The 19,029-nt window shown below is 36.9% G+C and overlaps 1 protein-coding gene across 5 annotated transcripts in view, besides 1 other annotated feature; it reads right to left on the reverse strand.

The window, feature by feature from the left end:
- The window catches only part of MAPK10 (mitogen-activated protein kinase 10), a 583,670-nt gene that overhangs the window by 483,447 nt on the left and 81,194 nt on the right, over positions 1 to 19,029 (reverse strand). The gene's annotated exons all lie outside the window — the stretch shown is intronic.
- Positions 4,823 to 4,932: an enhancer, noted in NCBI's record as "active region_21695". NCBI's record gives its function as "activates an Ori minimal core promoter by ATAC-STARR-seq in GM12878 lymphoblastoid cells {active_cell/tissue: GM12878}" and the evidence as "EXISTENCE:reporter gene assay evidence [ECO:0000049][PMID:35858748]".

The following is a 19,029-nucleotide window of genomic DNA, read 5'->3' on the forward strand; positions in this document are numbered from 1 at the left end:
ATACCCAAGAGAAGGTAAAGTCTTAAGCCTTTCTTTCCTGAGAGACAGCCCAGCCATCTCCTACCCCACATGATTTCCACTGGGAATATTAAAGGCACTGTAATATCTAGGAAGGAGAGAAATTTCAGGGCAGGGAGGTTTTCCCTATGCTCCTATACCTTCAGCTTCTATGTAAGATGAAAGTAGACCTTAAAAGTTTAGGCATTGGGATATCATCTGTCAGTAGATGGAACTTGCAACTTCTCTTTCCAAGTTCTCTGGCTTCTTTCTCCATGCAGCTTAGTAATGGACATGTAGCCTATACCAGCTATTCACTAGATTTAAAATCCTTATTTCAGATCAACAAGAGGATGCAGCGAGGTACAATCTTCCATGTTTGTGAGTAGGGAGAAGGAGTATTTCACCAGAAAGGGGCAGTGGAAGTCTGGCAGGACAGCAGTACTCTGGGTCCACATGGACAGCATGTTCAGAGCAAGAATCCAGGGAAACTCTAGGTAAACAATGCAACACTCAGCCTCCTTGGAACAGGAGGGGACTGGCGTTCCACATGGGCTGAGATAAGGCAGAAGGCCATGGTCAGGAGAAGGGAAAAGAGCTGGAGGGGATATCTGTATGAGAAGACTTAAAACCTGGAGCTAAGGGAGTGTGAATACTGGGATCCATGACTGGCTTGTTCTTTGTCACCATTACTCTAACTTCAAAAATGCTTCACGGCTGGGCGTGGTGGCTCACACCCGTAATCCCAGCACTTTGGGAGGCTGAGGCGGGCGGATCACGAGGTCAAGAGATTGAGACCATCCTGGCCAACATGGAAACCCCGTCTCTACTGAAAATACAAAAAACTAGCTGGCCGTGGTGGCGGGTGCCTGCAGTCCCAGCTACTCAGGAGGCTGAGGCAGGAGAATGGCGTGAACCTGGGAGGCGGAGCTTGCAGTGAGCTGAGATCGTGCCACTGCACTCCAGCCTGGGCGACAGAGAGAGACTCCGTCTCAAAAAAAAAAAAAAAAAAAAAAAAAAAAAAAAAAAAAAGCTTCACATATTTTATGTATCAATAACTAAATATTTGCTCACTTTTCCTTAAGTTGATCTTGATTCAATCTTAAGGAGTTGGATAACCCGAGCTTATTTCATGGTGTCTTCCCTAAGAAACCTTGGCCTTTTGGTTTATATTAGAATTAAGGTCCAGAAAAAACTAACACAATTTCTTAGAAGTCCAACAAATCACTTCAGACAGAGCCAGACTTTTCAGGGCTGCTCCAACAAGTTTAGGGTATACCTCCAACATGAGGCCTAAAGCGAGTTTGGCTTGGGTTGAGGATGTAGTCCATAAAACAATGATGTTTAATGATATGGTAAGATGGGAGGCATTTATTTACATAGCTGTTATTAAAGGTACTATAACCAATTTATTGGTATTTTAAATGTTTTATTATGGAGAATTTTAAACATACTCAAAAGTAGATAAAATAGTATCATGAATTCCCAGATAACCATCCAGTACCAAGCCCATGGCCAATCTGGCCTATCCACACCTCCATCTATCCCTTCCCTTGAGACTATTTTGAAGGAAATCCTAGATATCATATAATTTCCCTTATAAATATTTCAGGATGAATCTCTAAAATGCAATAGCTTGTCTTTATAACAAAACTAACACAACTGAAATATCATTATCACATCTAAAAATAATTCCTTAATAATATCAAACATTTAGTGTCGACATTTTAATTGTCTCATAAATATTACAAATAGGGGTTTTCCATGGTGCTTATTTAATCAGCATCCAAACAAAGATGAGATATGGTAAATTATTATTGTATTTTAAATATCTTTTAATTTTCATGTTCCATTTTCCTCTCCCTTTTTCCCCCTCTTGCAATGTATTTGTTGAAAAAATGTGCTTTTATGTCCTATGAACTTTCTCAGTCTGAGTTTGACTGACTGATTACATCTCCTTGGTATTTTAACATGTTTGTCCATCCTTTGGGTTTTCTGAAAATTGCTAGCTAAATCTAGAGTCATCATCGGATCCAGGCTGAATTTTTTTGCATATATTAATTTTTACCCAAAAAAACTATAAGAATAATCTCAAGTTTTACCAAAAACTTATTAACACATTTTTTCTATAATTCATGCCAGAAGATATTACATAAACATCAAAAATTTGAAATTTAAAAGTGAACAAAGGGCTTCATTTTTGTGGAAAACAACATACACACTCCATTAACCAAAAATAAACACAAGAAAAGTTCAAAAAAGCCCAAATGCTATAGGGACAACAACTTCAAATTAACCCAAGGATCTAAATAATGCAAAACCTGATATTAGCTACATGCTTTCCAGCCATTAAAATAGAGACTTAGATGTTGAAAACTCTATTTTTGATTCAGAGACGAGCTTTGTGCCCCGGGTTTTGGTTCAGTTTGCCTCAGCTACCACTAGAGGGAGGCCAATATGCATTTGAAAAACCCAAACATAAAAAATTGGCCTGAACCTGGAAGATTTCCATTTTTAAGTTCTTTTTAAAATATCAAACATAGTTCTTATTCAATATTACATATCATTTATTTTGTGTTTTACTAGGAAGCTTCACACTAAATTAATTTTGTATTTGGAATCTGCCTATAATGCAAAGGAAAAATACAGCCCTTTTGTGGCCTATACAAAGTACATGATACAACAGGTACCCCTGAAGTCCTCCTTCACCCCAGATCTTTTCAAGGCATTGAAAGGTACAAGAATACAAGGGGACTATGTCATGGTGACTAGGTTAAGTTTTTTTAGAGATTCTAAGTGCTTTTTAAGAATGCAGTACCCCAACTCCCTTACAAATTACAATTTTAAAGCAATAAACTATAAAACAAGCATAAAGAAATCCAACAAATTTCTATTTTCCGATGACAATTAATTTTTTCTGGTGAGTTAGAGGAGAAATATTTAATTCCCCCCCCACCCAACAAAAAACATTACTCAATACTCCTTTGCTGGAGGGCTAAGCACACGCTTAGTCAGCTTTATAGATAATCCAGATAATCCAGTTCTGCCTCCCATCCTGCAAATAATTAGCTAAAATGTCGGCACTAACTAATCTCTCTTTTGCCACAAAATATGCACATTCCTTATAATGCTTATGCTTTACATTAACCTAGCTCTTTAAGATTTATAACTCATTTTCACATGCTATTTCATTCTATCCTCAAAACTTTATTTTTATGGGAGAGTATTTTTCCTGCTTTATAAGAAACCAACACTCCAAACAATAAAAATTTGTTTACAAAGTTTAGTTATATTTCACATAAACAGGACTCAAATTCAGTGCTTCTAACTTCTAAAACTCAGGTACTTTATGGTTCTACTGATGAGGCTATTGTCAGGAATTTCACTTCCCCTATGAACAATCCTGTTTCTCATTGTCAATGCCTGGAAGATTCTAAAAGCATCAAAGTCACACTTATGCTTTCCATTTCCGTAGACTTGGCAAGGAACTATGCGGGCATGCACTGAATGGCCAGTCTCAGTGCCAAATGGAAAACCTATCCTCAGGCTCCTTGGCTCTGCCAGGTCAGAAGACTCAGAGCACACACTACACTGCAGCTGTTGAGGCCATGGGAAGTAGGACCAATGGAGTGCAGCCCTATGAGGCATATAGAAGGTGCTGAGGTTGGAGTTTTTCATGGCAATAACAAATGTACCTATGATCACTGATCACAGACATCTTTCCCAGCTGGTGGGGGCAGTGGCAAGTCTAAGCCATAAAACCCAGCAGAAATAAAATCTGTCCAGGGCTAAGTGGTGTGCTGATGATTTTTTAACAACCAGCTCTTCTGGAAAGGAGGAAAGAAAGCCCTGGTTTGTAGTTTGCCAAAACTCCCACCATGGCCAATTTCGAGTGTACCAAGCAAGCATCATATCATTAAATATGAAGTTGAGAAGATACGCTAACAATCAGCACTTGCACTCCACTCCTCAGTCCCTATGCCTAGAGCACCCCACTCTGGCTGTGCAAATATTAGGAGCAGGGTTGATTAGAAAACCCTCCATTCCATACCACTATGGAATCTATGGATGGATTTTCCATGAGCACAACTGGCTTCTTGGACCATCCCTTACTTCTCTTCAAGGGTAAAGAATTTATTTATCTAATTGGTGTGTTAGGGAGAAGCAACTGAGCATGCTGAGCTAAGCTCCTTTCTGCCCTTTCTCTCAGGGATCTGTCTGCCTGAAGACAATGTGCTTTCTGTTTTGGCTGCTGTCATGAGATAAAAGTCAGTGGCCTTATGCCACAGTTTTCAGGACAGTCCTGGCATTTCATCCCTTCGACTCTCAAAAGTGTCTTGGTTTGCACAACAAATTATGTGTCACTTTATGTAAAAGGGACTAACCCTGCAGAGCAAGGCCTGGCAGGCAACCAGAAAAATGGCTATTTCTGGTGCAGTCCTAGGAAACCTACTGTTACCACACAACTGAGCCACATTCTTCAATATCACTTTTATTGATAATAAACCTGACATTTTGATCTTCATCGGTTTGATTATTTTATCTAACTCTAGTTATATGCCAAACACAAGGAGTAACAACAGAGCCATCATTTTGGAGACTCTTAAAACTTCATCAAACTGAGTGCCCTGAAAAGTGACTGGTTGTGGCTTTTAGATAAGAAGAAAGTGGAAGTCCACACACACAGAAACAAAGGAGACTAGGATCATTAAGACAATTATCCACAAGCTCCCAAATCTACATTAAGAAAACAAAATACTAAAAATTTTTAGTGAGAGTTGACTCATAACAGCACTGCTATAATAAGAATTTAGAATTAAATTGAGGTGGCTTTATAAACCGTGGGTCACCACCACAAATATGTAGGGTACACCACTCTGTTGCTGCCTAAGCGTATTTAAGCTAGCTACCACTAGAGGGACCCTAATCGCCAAACATCATTTATAGCTAACCTTAACAGCCCTTTTCCTTTCCTTCAGACCCTTGTTTATCTGTATAGATGTAGTTGTGGAACACCAAAGTGGCACTCAAAGAAAGTAAAATAACAAAGTTCTTAATATTTGTGAAGTACTGAAACATGCACTGTTTCAGACTGTGTCTCCAAATTAACCTCTCTTCTTAAAGCTCACCTGACCATAGGTTTAGTTCAAATGTGGAATGGATCATTTGCTTTTTAAAAGCCACATCCAATTATAGAGAATCATAAGTTAATATTCACATCCTTTTGCGATTACAATTGTGTTAAATGAAATACTTCTTTCAAGCAAGTAAGCCATTACTATGCTTTCAAACTCCTCCCAAAATCAGTGTCTGGGGAGTAAGGAGTATGCAAACCTCAGGATAACACACACAGAGACACACACTCATATAGAGCACAGGATAAAAAGTTATACAAAAGGAAAAGTAGCTTTATATTCCAGATTATCACAATCAAACAGTTCAGAGGAGATTTACACTGCCCTGGACCTGCCTAACTTTAACTACCAGCAGCTAAGTTGCAAGCACACCAGGAACCTTGACTTCAGTGCATGACCAAAAACAGGGTGGGGAGTAACACAGCAAGAACATTTCCAGACAATTCTGCTGATGCACTTGTTGGTTCGGTTATTTTCTTGCCAGGGCCACACATACACACCCATAGGCAGTGCCTCCAGGTCACGAAACACACTGGAAATGTGTATATTGTTCAGTCAATATCAATTAGACAAAAAGACAAACCATATAATGCACTATCCAAAGAGGATTTGTTTTTTGCTTTAATCGTTGATTTTGCTTGCTTGCTATAGCTAAGACAACTAGTCACCTACACAACATCTATTCTCTTCTTTTTCCTTAATGATAGAACTTTAAGAACTTTAATTTTATTCCAAGTAGTGATGTATCCAGCTAAAGGACTGCATTTGCCAATCTCTCCTGCAGATAGGGATGGTTGGTAAACAGTAAGTGGGCCTTTAGAGAAAGCTCCTTAAGACAAACAGCTGAAGTATGTCTTTTTGTCCTTTCTGCTTCCTCCCTGATTAGAAGACATATATGATGTCTGTCTGGGATCCCAGCAACCATCTTGGACCACGTGAAAACCTTGGGGATGGAAATCACATGCTATGGATGGCGAAGAAAACTAAAAGCGCCTGAGTCACTGATACCACTTTAGAGCTACCATATAAGCCTCTCTTAAGCCTTCCTTTTATGAAAGAAATATAAAATTCCATCTTGCTGAATTCCTATCTGTGTTACTAGCAATTGAACAACTGATTTGCCAGCCATCTGAATTACCCAGATTGTCTGATAATTGGTCAATACCCACTTCATTTTAGGATATAGAAATAAAGCTTCAAAACTGGCCATAATAGCTATGGTGATTTGATCCTCAAAACTAAAAATTAGGTCACACAATAAGAATAGTCTGAATCCACTTATGGGAGAAGCAGATCAGCTTATTTGAAATCGGGTTGTGCTAGAATACCCAGATCATATGATTCTATTTTCAGTTATTAAGTTCAAGCACGTTGCAGTAATCCTGACCTGATTTTCCACTTCATCAGGAAAAAGATAAGTTTGCGTACTGTGTGGTACACACTCTTCTAACTAGAAACTTCAGTTTAATACACAATCTCTGAAATTTATTTCACAAAGTGTTCTGAGTTTCCTGAAACTCAGGTTCCCCATAAACTTTGGGGGTTTTGTTGTAATTACACCTATGCTCCTTTCTCTGTGCTCAGGAAGAAGCATTATTGGCACCTGTATCCTGTAGAACTCAGTTCTATATATTTAATATTTGCCTTACCTAAGCCCTCTATATATGTTTCCCCATAAAAGGATAATAATACTAACCTTTCCTCCAGTGTGTGTTGTGATGTTTAATTAATGTTTACAAAGCATTTAGTGAGCTGCAGATGAAAGACTCTAAGGAAGCATAAAGCAATATCATTAGACTGACTCATCAGCTACTTTTATTAGCTATGCAAAATGAAAGCCATGTTGCTACAGCCAAAATAGTTATGGATACACATTAGGTAAAAAATATAAATTCCAGCACAATTTAAATCTATATACCACATCTACAAAGCAAACACCTGAAGCTCCTTAATAGGACAATTTTTTTCTCTGATAAGTATTTGAAATCTGTTAACATTTAAAAATATAAACAGATTAGAAGGTTAGGGTAATGGTAAAAACATGATACTTTGGTAAACATATGAAACTCTTTACACTTTCTTATGTGAATGAAGATTTCATTTGCAATGATGTGAAACTCTCTACGATCTGAAAAAAAAAAAAAAAAAAAAAAAAAACTTTTAATTGATTCTTTTTCATTTGAAATTAGCAATAATGACCTGAATTCCACAGGAGATAAAAACAATAAATTGAAAACCTTGAAAATTAGTTCAGGTAATAGTTCTTGAGTTTCTCTGTGCCCTATGTTCAGGTGCAGGCTATTTTATATATAGTCTTCAACAGCTTTCAACCAAGTGGTATACAACTGTATTTATTTAATAAGCATATATTAATATTGTATATTTTTTCTGAACCAAGGAATCATTTACACTATACATTCTAGTCTACAATGTAAAACTAAAATATCATTTTATTGTGTGACATGGAGCTCTTTTTCAAGTTAAAACAGCTCTGTATCCTAGTGTTTCCTTGCTGTGTAGCAGAATGAGAATTAGGAACTAGGAAGAGCCCAGCTGGTAAGGAGGGTTCGCTTTTTTATAATTAGTTGGGTTAAACCCATAATATCCATCTATAACTTATCCAGGGTATTCTGTTTCAAAGAGAAGTAATAGTCTTAAAACAGAAAACATGCATTTGTATGCATGTGTGTGTGCATGCACACACACACACACACACACACTACTGTGCAGTCAAAGAACAGACTCCATGTCAGTTTTGAAAGACATACCAACTGGGTTCAACATTACATTGTGTCAGAGAATGAAGTGATGACTATCCTTCACTCAAAAAATGCATAGTTGAATTTTTCCTCCAACTTCCAATTTGGTTAATTTGAGAACTTGTGGTTTAGTAGGTTACATGGAAGATTAAGGAGACTCACATCCATAATTGTCCCAAAAAAGCACAAAGTTAACATTCTCCTGAGTTGAAAGTAAAGACTATTATGGAAATTAATTAATCCCTTAACAACAACCACAACAAAATGGCAGGGCACTGCATGGCAGCACTGCAGGGTCTTTTAAAGGTAAATGGATTTCATGCCATTTTAACCAGTTCAAGTATAAAGTCATCCAAGTTTTAGAAATATTCTGAAACCATTTTCTTCTGCCTCTTTAACGGCTACTTTTTGATCTCCATTTTTTTTCCTCCTCTAAATGTGTTGTGACTCATACATTTACAACTTGGATGTCCCCAAAATAGTAACCACCCCCATTCTATTGCCATATATTTTTGTGTTATAAATTAAAATGGGAAGAATACCCATTCAGAATATAATGGAAAACAGCATCCCCCAACTCGCTCCTGAAGTATCTTCATGAATTCTAAAGAAGCTTAACATTATTCTGAGTCATTTCTTGCTTGGATTTCTTGCTTCTACTGAATTCTCCAAAGTAAAGCTAAATTCTCCTTAGCTTTACTTTGCATTGACTTAATAATATGAAGTACATTTCTCTTGACCATTCCTTTGAAACTCACAAAACTTCTTGTTTCTCTTTATATCACTCCTATACCTCAGCATGCTCTGAGTTTTATTTTCCACTGTAATATGGCCCATCAAGGTGATTGACCAAACAAAAAGTTTTTGAGGCATATTCTTGATAGCTTTTAAATGTACATTGCCTCTCCTCCATATGTCAAATTAACTTTCCCACTACAGAGAATTCTTCTGGCACCTATAATTAATATTCTCTTTGGTACATTCTTTCCTTTAGAGTTCTTATTTAGTTTGATAGAAAATGACTCCCACATTTCAGTCAACGTTTATCTCTCTTCTTTATTCTGGACTTACATTTTCATTCTAAAAGACATTTTTGCCAAAATTTACCACCAACACCTCAAACTCAGCACATAAACAAAAATAACAGACTTTTTTGTGAGGCTTATTCTGTGTGGATCATCAATATAGACTACAGAGTCAAGTAACAAAGATTTATTCTAGGAAGAAGGGTGGGATCCTTCAGTTCAGAAGATTACAGTTTCCAATGCCTCTGGAATCTCAAAAGAGGGACTGCTGAAAGAGGATGGAAGAATAATAATTTAAAGGTGAGTTATGAGGTCAACCTAGATGTCTAGCATTTCAAAGCCATGTCATCCAAAGTTAAGGGTATCATCTTTCCCAAACAAACTCATTCTGTTCCTGATGTTCTGAATTCTGTTAATGCAACCACAATTTTTCTCATCATGCAATTTCAAAATTTTAACTTAGACTCTTTTGTCTCTGGCTCTATATTCCTTCAGTTGCCTAGTTCTTCCAGTTCAGACTCTGAAATGTCAGTTCCATTCTCACCTTTGCTACTTTACTTCCAGCTCCCATACTTTTCCAATTAGATTGTTGAAATGGGTACCTAAAATATCTCTCTATCCTCAGACTTTTTCATCTAATCGAATTCTTCCCATCTGTGGGTACCAACTGATAAATTTTCATAAAGTACCACACTGATGGTATCACTTTCCTATAAAACTTTCAAAGGCTCATTATTACCTAACAAATTGAGTGCACACTCCTTAGTAACCTCTCCATTGCAATTCCAAGGGTCAGTTCTCCATCCTCATCTTATTCAACCAATAAGAAGCATTTGAGAATTAATCTGTAGCCTGGATTTCTACAGTTGGTCCCTTGCTTCAACGCTTACCTAATAATCTATTTCACAAACAGCCATGGTAATTATTTTAAAACATTTCAGATTATGTCACTGTTCTGATTTAAATCCTCCAATGGCTTTTTAAAAAATCTCATTTGGGGTAAAATTCAAAGTGCTTATAATGGCCTGCAAGATCCTATATAATATGGCTGGCTATGCACTACCAGACCCCATCATCTACCACAATTAATTATTCATCTCCCTAATCCTACTCTAGCCACACCAGTCTTTTTGCTCTTACCCAAGGACAGCAAACATGCTCCCACCTCTTGGGCTTTGTACGCATTCCACTCTTCTTCCTGAGACCTACAGGGCCCTCCCTAATTCATTCAAATGTCTATACAAATGTCACCATAGTAGAGAGTTCTCTCTCCAATCTATCAAAGTAACATTCCCCCCAGCCTACCCAGATAATCCCTATTATCTGTAACACTTAACATCATTAGAAATATCATAGTTATTTGTGTAATATTTTTTATTGTCTGTCTCTTCTCACTAAAATATAAGCACCCTGAGGGAGGGTCTTAGTTTCTTTTACAACTATTTTCCCAGAGCCTAAAAGAGCATACTGCACTTAATTCAATAAATATTTCTTGAGTGAATGAATAAATGAGTCTCACAGAATGAACCTCTCTACAGAAATCCTATGCTAGCCCAGTGAAATCCAACCTGTGGGCCAAAGATCTGGGAAGTAGTAAAGTAACGTAAAGGGGTCTGTGAATCCACATCCTTCCGATTATTGTCTGTAAACTAAATTAACTACCATATTATACTATTACTTTAAAATGTATTAATTTATAGTAATCTTACCAACATGTATTTTTCCAAAGGATAGTAGCAGTACAGTTTACTATTATGTAGGAACCTACCAATTTTTTCTTATTAACAAGGGGTGTTCTTACTCAAAAACATTAGGAAGCTCACTGCTCTAGCCAAACGAAACCACTGCCTTTTCATCAAGTTGTCTATAAACATTCACACCTGTTCCTTTGCTAATATGTGTATCTTAACTAGCAAAACTTTTTCCTGCCCTCCACTTTCCACCCCATCCTCCAATTGATTTACTGTTTCAAATTCTAAATCATCATTATCTACACCTGAGTGAGCATATGCCTAAGAGCTGGCAATAAGACACATGATGACTGGCTGGGGTGAGGAATGGAAAGGAAGAGCCAGAAGAGGAAAAGAAGTGCTACAAGATTCATGTGCTAGAACTCTCAAGTCCAATTTCACCTGCCTCCCAGTTTGCCTACAGTCCCTCTTTTGGGGGTATTAAGCACATCCAGCAAAGTCTTTCCACCAGCAAAGCCCATCCACTCTGCATCCTCCATAAATACAACACACTAATTCTAGACCCTGCACTATTTTTTCATACTAGTCAAAGTGCTCTGCTCACTGCTTTCTACCAAATAGCAACCATCACATAATTGTTTTGGTTCAACCTTCACCTGTTTCTGGAACTTTTCCCTGGCTAGCCAACAGCACATTCTTATTATTCCTCTATAGTGCTTCAGCAATTTAATACACATTTTTTCAAACAAATTTTCTACTCTTTGATAATTTATTTTTAAGTTTCCTTTCAGCATCATGCAATATGCCCATATAACCTGCCCATGTACCCCCTGAATCTAAAATAAAAGTTTAAATTATTTTTTAAAAATGGGCCAGGCAAGGTGGCTCACACCTATAATCTCAACATTTTGGGAGGCCAAGGCAGGAGGATTGCTTGAGCCCAGGAGCTCAAGACCAACCTGGGCAACATAGAGAGACCTCATCTCTACTAAAAATTTGTGGTGGCATGCATCTGTAATCCCAGCTTATCAGGAGGCTGAGGTGGTGTTTGAGCCTAGTTCAAGGCTGTAATGAGCTATGATCACACCACCACACTTCAGCCTGGGCAACAGAGTGAGACCCTGTTTTTAAAAAAAAAAGTTTCCTTTTTTCATTTATTCTCTTAAATGTGAACTCCTGCGAAGACATGAGAGCCTCAGATATTTCTTTTCTTTTATAGGTGTCTTTCCATTATACAATAATGCCTAGTACTAGACTAGGAACAGAAGAGATAAAGAAAGATATCCTATGAAGGCACTGAATTAGCCTTTAGCTGGATTCACAAACCTATAGGCCAATTTAAATTGTACTCATTTTCAAATTTCTTTAGGTCATGAACTAGCCTACTTATTGCGTCAATATCTATAAATTACTTCCCCAATTCTGTCCTTTCTAAAGTGTATATGCTCTGTCCTCTAGCAGATGATCTTGTTCCTGAACTTCAATCCAATGAGCTCTCATTGAACTCCTTAATGTAAAACATGAGCTAGGCAATATAGAGACATACTCCTTGCCCTAAAGGAATTCATAATAATTCCTTAAAGAAAACATTTTTAAAGCACCTGGTATGTGTTAGGCACCCAAGAACTATTCTATACAGCACAGAAAATGAGATATTCACACCTATAAACAAAAGACAGCGTATTACATTCCAAAAGAAAGGCAGTCGGTCATATGAAAATCCAGGAAGGGAAAAATTAATTCTGAACATAATACCAAGGAATCTTTTATTGAGGAACTGTCCTCTGAATAGGACCATTAAGGAGAAGAATTTTCATGAGAAAATGAGTGAGGGATATGCTAGAAAGGCAGTTGTTTCTGAATCTAATGGTCAAAAATATGGGTTTTGAAAGTCAGAGGGTCTTGGTTCAAATTGTATTTTTGTCACTTACTTGATGAACATCCCCAAGTAGCTTATTTAACTTCAACTGTGGTTTCTTCATTTACAAAATGGAGATAATGTGATTACACACTGCATAAAAACAGACTCTTAGCTGCTGCCTGGCACAGAGTAAGTGCTGACTAAAAGATAGCACTTAGTTTGTGTTCCCCCAGAAGAAGACCATGACTCAAAGATCCAACTACAAATAGTTTATTTGAAAGGGGGCCACAGGAATCACTGATAGGAAGGGGAGGAAGGGAGTCAAGGAAGGGAAGGCAGCACACAAAGTGTGTATTATTAAGTAAATTACCACTACTGGAGCCTAATCTAGCTGGAAACTCCAGGAGCCAGTGTCGACTCAAAGGTCAAGAGGAGCAGAGAATTAAAAACCAACCACAACAATCAAGGTCAGAACTGCTCCCAGACTGAGGAGCAGAAATTCCTCTTCTCCAGCAGAGGAGAAAGCTGTCAGGGAAAGACACACAGATACAGTTAAGGCAGCTGTGCTAAGTGGTAAGCCTCAAGGGGATTTGGGTAAGGCTCTGCCCACACTAATACAATATACATAAAAATATGAGTATATATATGCTTGAGGCTATAAGGAATATGTATCAGAAATTTATCTAATTGATGTATTAGTTAAAAATAAAACATATATGATAAACAATATTCCAGGCAAAGTTTTTAGAAGATGCAATAATCCAGAAAAAATTTTACACATGTATAACAAATTATCATACTGAATATAAAAAAGAATTACTACATATCCAACATAAGAACAACCCAATAAAAATAGATTAAAAGATATGAAAATGTAAAGAATAAGAGGCAAGCCCCAGAACAATAGATGAAATAGTCATTAAACATAAAAGAATAAATGACCAGGGAAATAAAAGTAAAAACAATAATAAAATACCAGTTCTAAGCTATTAGATTGACCAAATACAATTTGGCTATATCAAGTGTCAGCAGATGTGTAGACAGAGTAGTGCGGAGAAAAAACCCCTTTCATTGCGACTGCCACTTTGAAGGGCAATAATCATTATCCACCAAAAACAAAACTAAGCTTACCTTTTGGCCTAGTGATTCCACTTCTCAGTATCTCGCCTAGAGAAATACCCATGTGCACAATAATGTTTATTGAAGCATTGCCTACAATTCTGCAAACAAGCCTACAAAGGAGACAGACTAAATATTATGTAATACCATGTTACTATTAAAAAGAATAAACTGGAGATATATATATATATATATATATATATATATATATATATATATATATATATATATATAAAATCATGTGTAAATTCCCAAGATATATTGCTAAGGGTAAAGAGCAATGGCATACAGTGGTATAGAATTATACTGTGAAAGTTGTCAGAATCAAAATGGAGCCACTTGTGTTAAAAATCCTAAAAGACAGAGCCTCAGAAGGCCATGAAGAGAGGGTTCTCATGCACCAATGCCTGATAACAAGAACTATCACCAAAGACTCTGAAAAAACTACAAACTTGCACAAAGGCCATTGCAACTGTATACCAAAAAGAAAAAAAAAATACTCCTGTAGACATCTACCCAGCAATTGTCTGTCAGCCTTGGACTGTCATCACCCTTGGTATTGATCTCTGTAACCAAAAATAATTATCTCAAACCAATTATGTAATTCTTCTCATTTAAAAAGAAAACATTGTCTTCTTTTACCCTCCTGAACACACACATAGTTTACTATGGCATGTGTATTCCCATTGTATTCCTATTCGCAAAAAAATATCATTTTCTTTTAGAGAATCTTCCTCTCTGTTATTTAGTTTCGCATTAATGGTGTCAGCAGTGAGGCCAAAGTTAGCTCACCTTTGATGGATTGGTGGCCTGTGGAATTGAGTGCAGTACTGACTTCAATGTTGCCTTTTCTTCCATAGTGAATCTTCTCTAGGACTCTTGGACTCCCTCCCTTTGGTGAGTTCTTTTTTACTTTATTTGGGATCTGATTTGGTTATAAGGCCACCTTAAATAAAGGACCTTGCATCCCTCCTGGGACTATAAAAGTTATTTCTGGCGAGCCCTTTCTGGTAAAAGACAAGTGTCCTTCTGGTTTGAGTTATCTGGTTTCTACGGAGTTTACATTCTGTCTGTGAGGCATTCTTTTCTGGTGAATTCACTTTTGATTTGGTGCATCCGGCTTAATATTTTGTTTGATCTGCATGGCTGGGTTAAAAATTCTGTGAGCACTCTGATTTTGGTTTCATTTTGGTTAGGTTATGTGTGTCTGTAAATGATTTGGCTCTTTTTCCCTTACTTGTTTCTGAACATCTTCCAAGAGCAAAAATAAACATTCTAAATAGTAGGCATGATATGGCCAATTAAAAGCCACTGGGATGGTCACCATGATCTAAACCACCAGTGTAAACTTCCTGACAGGATTTATAGAATTTTCTTTGCTCTGGAGAAATTAGTCAGAAACAGAATGGGATTCTCAAACATTCAGGCATGTCAAGCTTTCTGGGACTCCAGCTGGCTACATGGCTTTTCCTCGTGCATGTTTTTAAATTAATGGCCATCATGAATATCATTTGAAGTCCCCAACCTTGTTTTTTTCTTAGAATTCAATTAGAAACTGCAATCAACTATAGAGTTAACATGTAGAGTCTTTTTAGTTATCTTTTTTTTTCTGGATACTCTAAATCTGTTAACTTTTTCATTTGTGTTAAGATAACACACTGTTGCTAATTTCAAAAGCTGCTTAGATCTTTTTTTAGAGCATTTTAACCAGGATAAGGATAAAAATCTTAAAGGGCTTTCAAATTAATGGCTTTACAAATTACAACCGCTTCATGGCAGCCAACAACCTAGACACCTTTTGGAAATGTAAATTGAGGTTTCCCTAACTATTAATTGCTTAGGGTGATGAAACAGTTAATTGAAGGATTGATATTCTATACGGACATAAAGAGATATGTGTTTATACAAATTAAGGTCTCAGATCAAATAGGTCAAAATCTTGAACTTAGCGCAATAATACAAGGTATCTCTGGCATAAAAATTGCTTTGTCTGTCTGTTACACGGGGGCCAGAAACGCTGACCAAAAAAAAAAAACAAACAAAAAAAAACCTGCCAAAATGCTTCCCTGTCCGCATTGTCTAGTCAAGAAAACCAGATCAGCAAACAAAAGAAAGATTTGTTACTAAAAAATTTAAGGCAACTTGGAGATTTTGACTTTCTTACAGAATTTAGCCAGTCCCAGCTAAAATGTAAACAATTGAAAATTTAACCCTAAACTCATTTAAAACTGGAAAAAAAGATGTGAGATTTATTTAAAACCAAGATGCTTTACCTAAAAATTTTGGTCCACAGCTTTTCTTAGATTATCTATTAGGGAAAATAACACTTATCCACCTGAACAGGTCCCATTTTGTCAAAAATACAATTTGGGTCCAACTATTTTTTTATAAACTTGTGAGTTTGTATTACTATGCTTTACTATCTAGTGACTGAAATTCTAAAATTAAAGCTATAAGATCTTTATTGTGTGCATGTATATGTGTTTATGTGTGTTGACATGTGTTGTATGCTGTGTCTAAATTGTAAAATCTGGTGTACTTGGCTAGAAATTCCTTAAGAAATCCTATTCGGATTAGCTCAGATAAATAAGCAATCATAAAATATATAGTAATTAATCCAAATGCCTTTTAGTTCATACAACTTAAGTAAATCTTTGATAAATAAGCTGTTGGTGTTTTATTGGTAGGGGGTGGTTTGTTTTGAGGTGGGGTCTTGCTTTGTTCCTAGGCTGGAGTGCAGTGGTGCTCATTGTAGCCTCAAACACCTGTGCTCAATCAATCCTCCCACCTCGGCCTCCCAAGTAGCTGGGACTACAGGTATGTACCCCCATGCCTGGCTAATTTTTGTATTTTTTGTAGAGGCAGAGTTTTACCATGTTGCTCAGGCTGGTCTGAAACTCCTGGCCTCAAGCGATTATCCCACCTCAGCCTCCCAAAATGCTGAAATTATAGGGATGAGCCACCACCCCTGGCCCAATAAACTGGCCTTGAATTTGTTGATAAAATAAAAACAGAAATTTTTTCAAATTGTCAATCAATAGATGAATGAAAATGTCATGTATATAAATACACATGAATATATCTATATACATGTATATAAATACACATGAATATATCTATATGCATGTATATAAATACACATGAATATATCTATATGCATGTATATAAATATACATGAATATATCTATATACATGTATACAGATATACATGAATGAAAGAAAATGTCATGTATATAGATATACTCAATGGAATCTAATTCAGCCATTAATAAAGAGTAAAATCCTGTAATTTGCAGCAACATAGGTGGAACTGCAGGTCATTATGCTAAGTGAAATAAGCCAGGCACAGAAAAACAAATATAGCACGTTCTCATTCATATACGAAAGCAAAAAAATTGGCTCTCATGGAGGTAGAGAGTAAAATGGTTACCAGAGGCTAGGAAGAAAAGTGGGGAGGGAGGCATGAAGAGAGGTTGGTTAAGGGTACAAAATACAGTTAGATAGAAGGAATAAGTTCTAGTATTCAGTAGTACAGAAGGGAAATTATAGTTAACAATAATTTATTCTGTATTTCAAAATAGCTAGAAAAGAAAATTTGTACTATTTCCAACACAAACAAAAGATGAATGTTTGAGGTGATGGATATCCCAGGTACCCTGATTTGATCATTACACATTGTATACAGGTATCAAAATACCACATGTACCCCAAAAATGTGACAACTATTATACATCAATTTTTTTTTATTTTAAAAACAGGTTTCGGCTGGGTGTGGTGGCTCATGCCTGTAATCCCAACATTTTGGGAGGCCAAGGTGAGTGGATTACATGAGCTCAGGAGTTCGAGACCAGCCTGGGCAATGTAAGGAGACATTTTGGGAGGCCAAGGTGAGTGGATTGCATGAGCTCAGGAGTTCGAGACCAGCCTGTGCAATGTAGGGAGACCTTGTCTCTACTAAAAATAAAATAAAATAAAAAATCAGCTGGGTGTGGTGGCACATTCCTGTAATCCCAGCTACTCAGGAGGCAGAGGTGGGAGGATGGCTTGAGCACAGGAGGTGAGGTTGCAGTGAGCCATGATCGCACCACTCTGCTCTCCAGCCTGGGCGATAGAACCAGATCTTGTCTTCAAAAAAGAAAAAACAAGGAGGAAAGAAGAAGGAAGAAGAATACAGAAGGAGGAAGAGGAAAGAAGAAGGAAGAAGAATACAGAAGGAGGAGGAGGAGGAAGAGGAAGAAGAAGAAGAACAGGAAGAAGAAGAAGGAGGAGGAGGAGGAGGAGCGGGAGCAGGAGGGGGAGCGAGAGGGAAAGGGGGAGGGGAGAGAGGAAGAGAAAGAAGGAGAAGGAGAAGAAGAAAAGGAAGGAAGGAAGGAAACAAGGAAGGAAGGAAAGAAGGAAGGAAGGAGCAGGAATGAAGGAAAGGAGGGAGGGAACAAGGAAGGAAAGAAGGAAGAAAGGAGAAGAATGAGGAGGAAGGAAAAAGAAGAAGAATTAAAATACAGATTTTAATAACTAAAGTTGATTAATTAATTTTTTTAGAATTCTAATGAAGAAACTGCTGAATTCATGAAACTACTCATCAAGATCAAGCAGAACAAAAATTACATGACATTAAGTAACTGCTGAAGATAATGTTTTTATGACTTTAATTTGAAAGATTTTTGACTCCTAAGTGTTTTGTTTTCCAAATTTAAGGTAACTTTTTTCTTAAGCTATCTATAGTTTAAAGCAATACGGTAAAGCATACTTTTGAGAACAAAGGTGGAAATATTTACTTTTTCTTCTTACTTGATCCCTCCAAAATTTGGAAACTCTTCATGAGTATTCTTATGGCTGTATGGTTATTTGGATAAGTTCAGTAAAAATCTACTTTCTCTTTATAACAGAATACAATTGGAAGCATTGGCTATATTACCAAGGCATTGACTGGAATATCATATTTGAGAACGTGCATAGAATGCCTGGTTTCAAGGGTTTCCAGCCTTATAGTGAGTGAGTAAATATTGTCACTTCCTGGCAGGCCCCAAAAACCTTAAGATGGTAGGTAAAACCTAAAATCTACCTTGGTTTGACTTCCTAGCCTCAAAAGGTTTTAAATCTGAGATTTTCATGTGATCAATATAGAGATAAAAACTTATGTTTCTAAAGAAAAGCTATAATATATGTGTTATTAGACTGTAGCCTTGTGCATTGTTTTTGAGTCCTTGCTATCTACCTACAGACTAGACTATATCCTGAATTCTTCTAGAGTCCTCCAATTCAACTTTCTCCCATGGAATTACTAAAAATGAGACCTCTTTTGTTCTGAAGCCCTGAAAACTAAAACTAGATGAATTTTAAGGGATAAGTTTCATGACTGATGGATGTGTCACACAGAAAGTTAAACAAACCACCTGATGCCATAGCCAGGGACATTGAAACTGCAAACCAGGATAAGAAGTT

This window comes from Homo sapiens, chromosome 4 (genome assembly GCF_000001405.40).
Source record: "Homo sapiens chromosome 4, GRCh38.p14 Primary Assembly".
Lineage (NCBI taxonomy): Eukaryota > Metazoa > Chordata > Mammalia > Primates > Hominidae > Homo > Homo sapiens.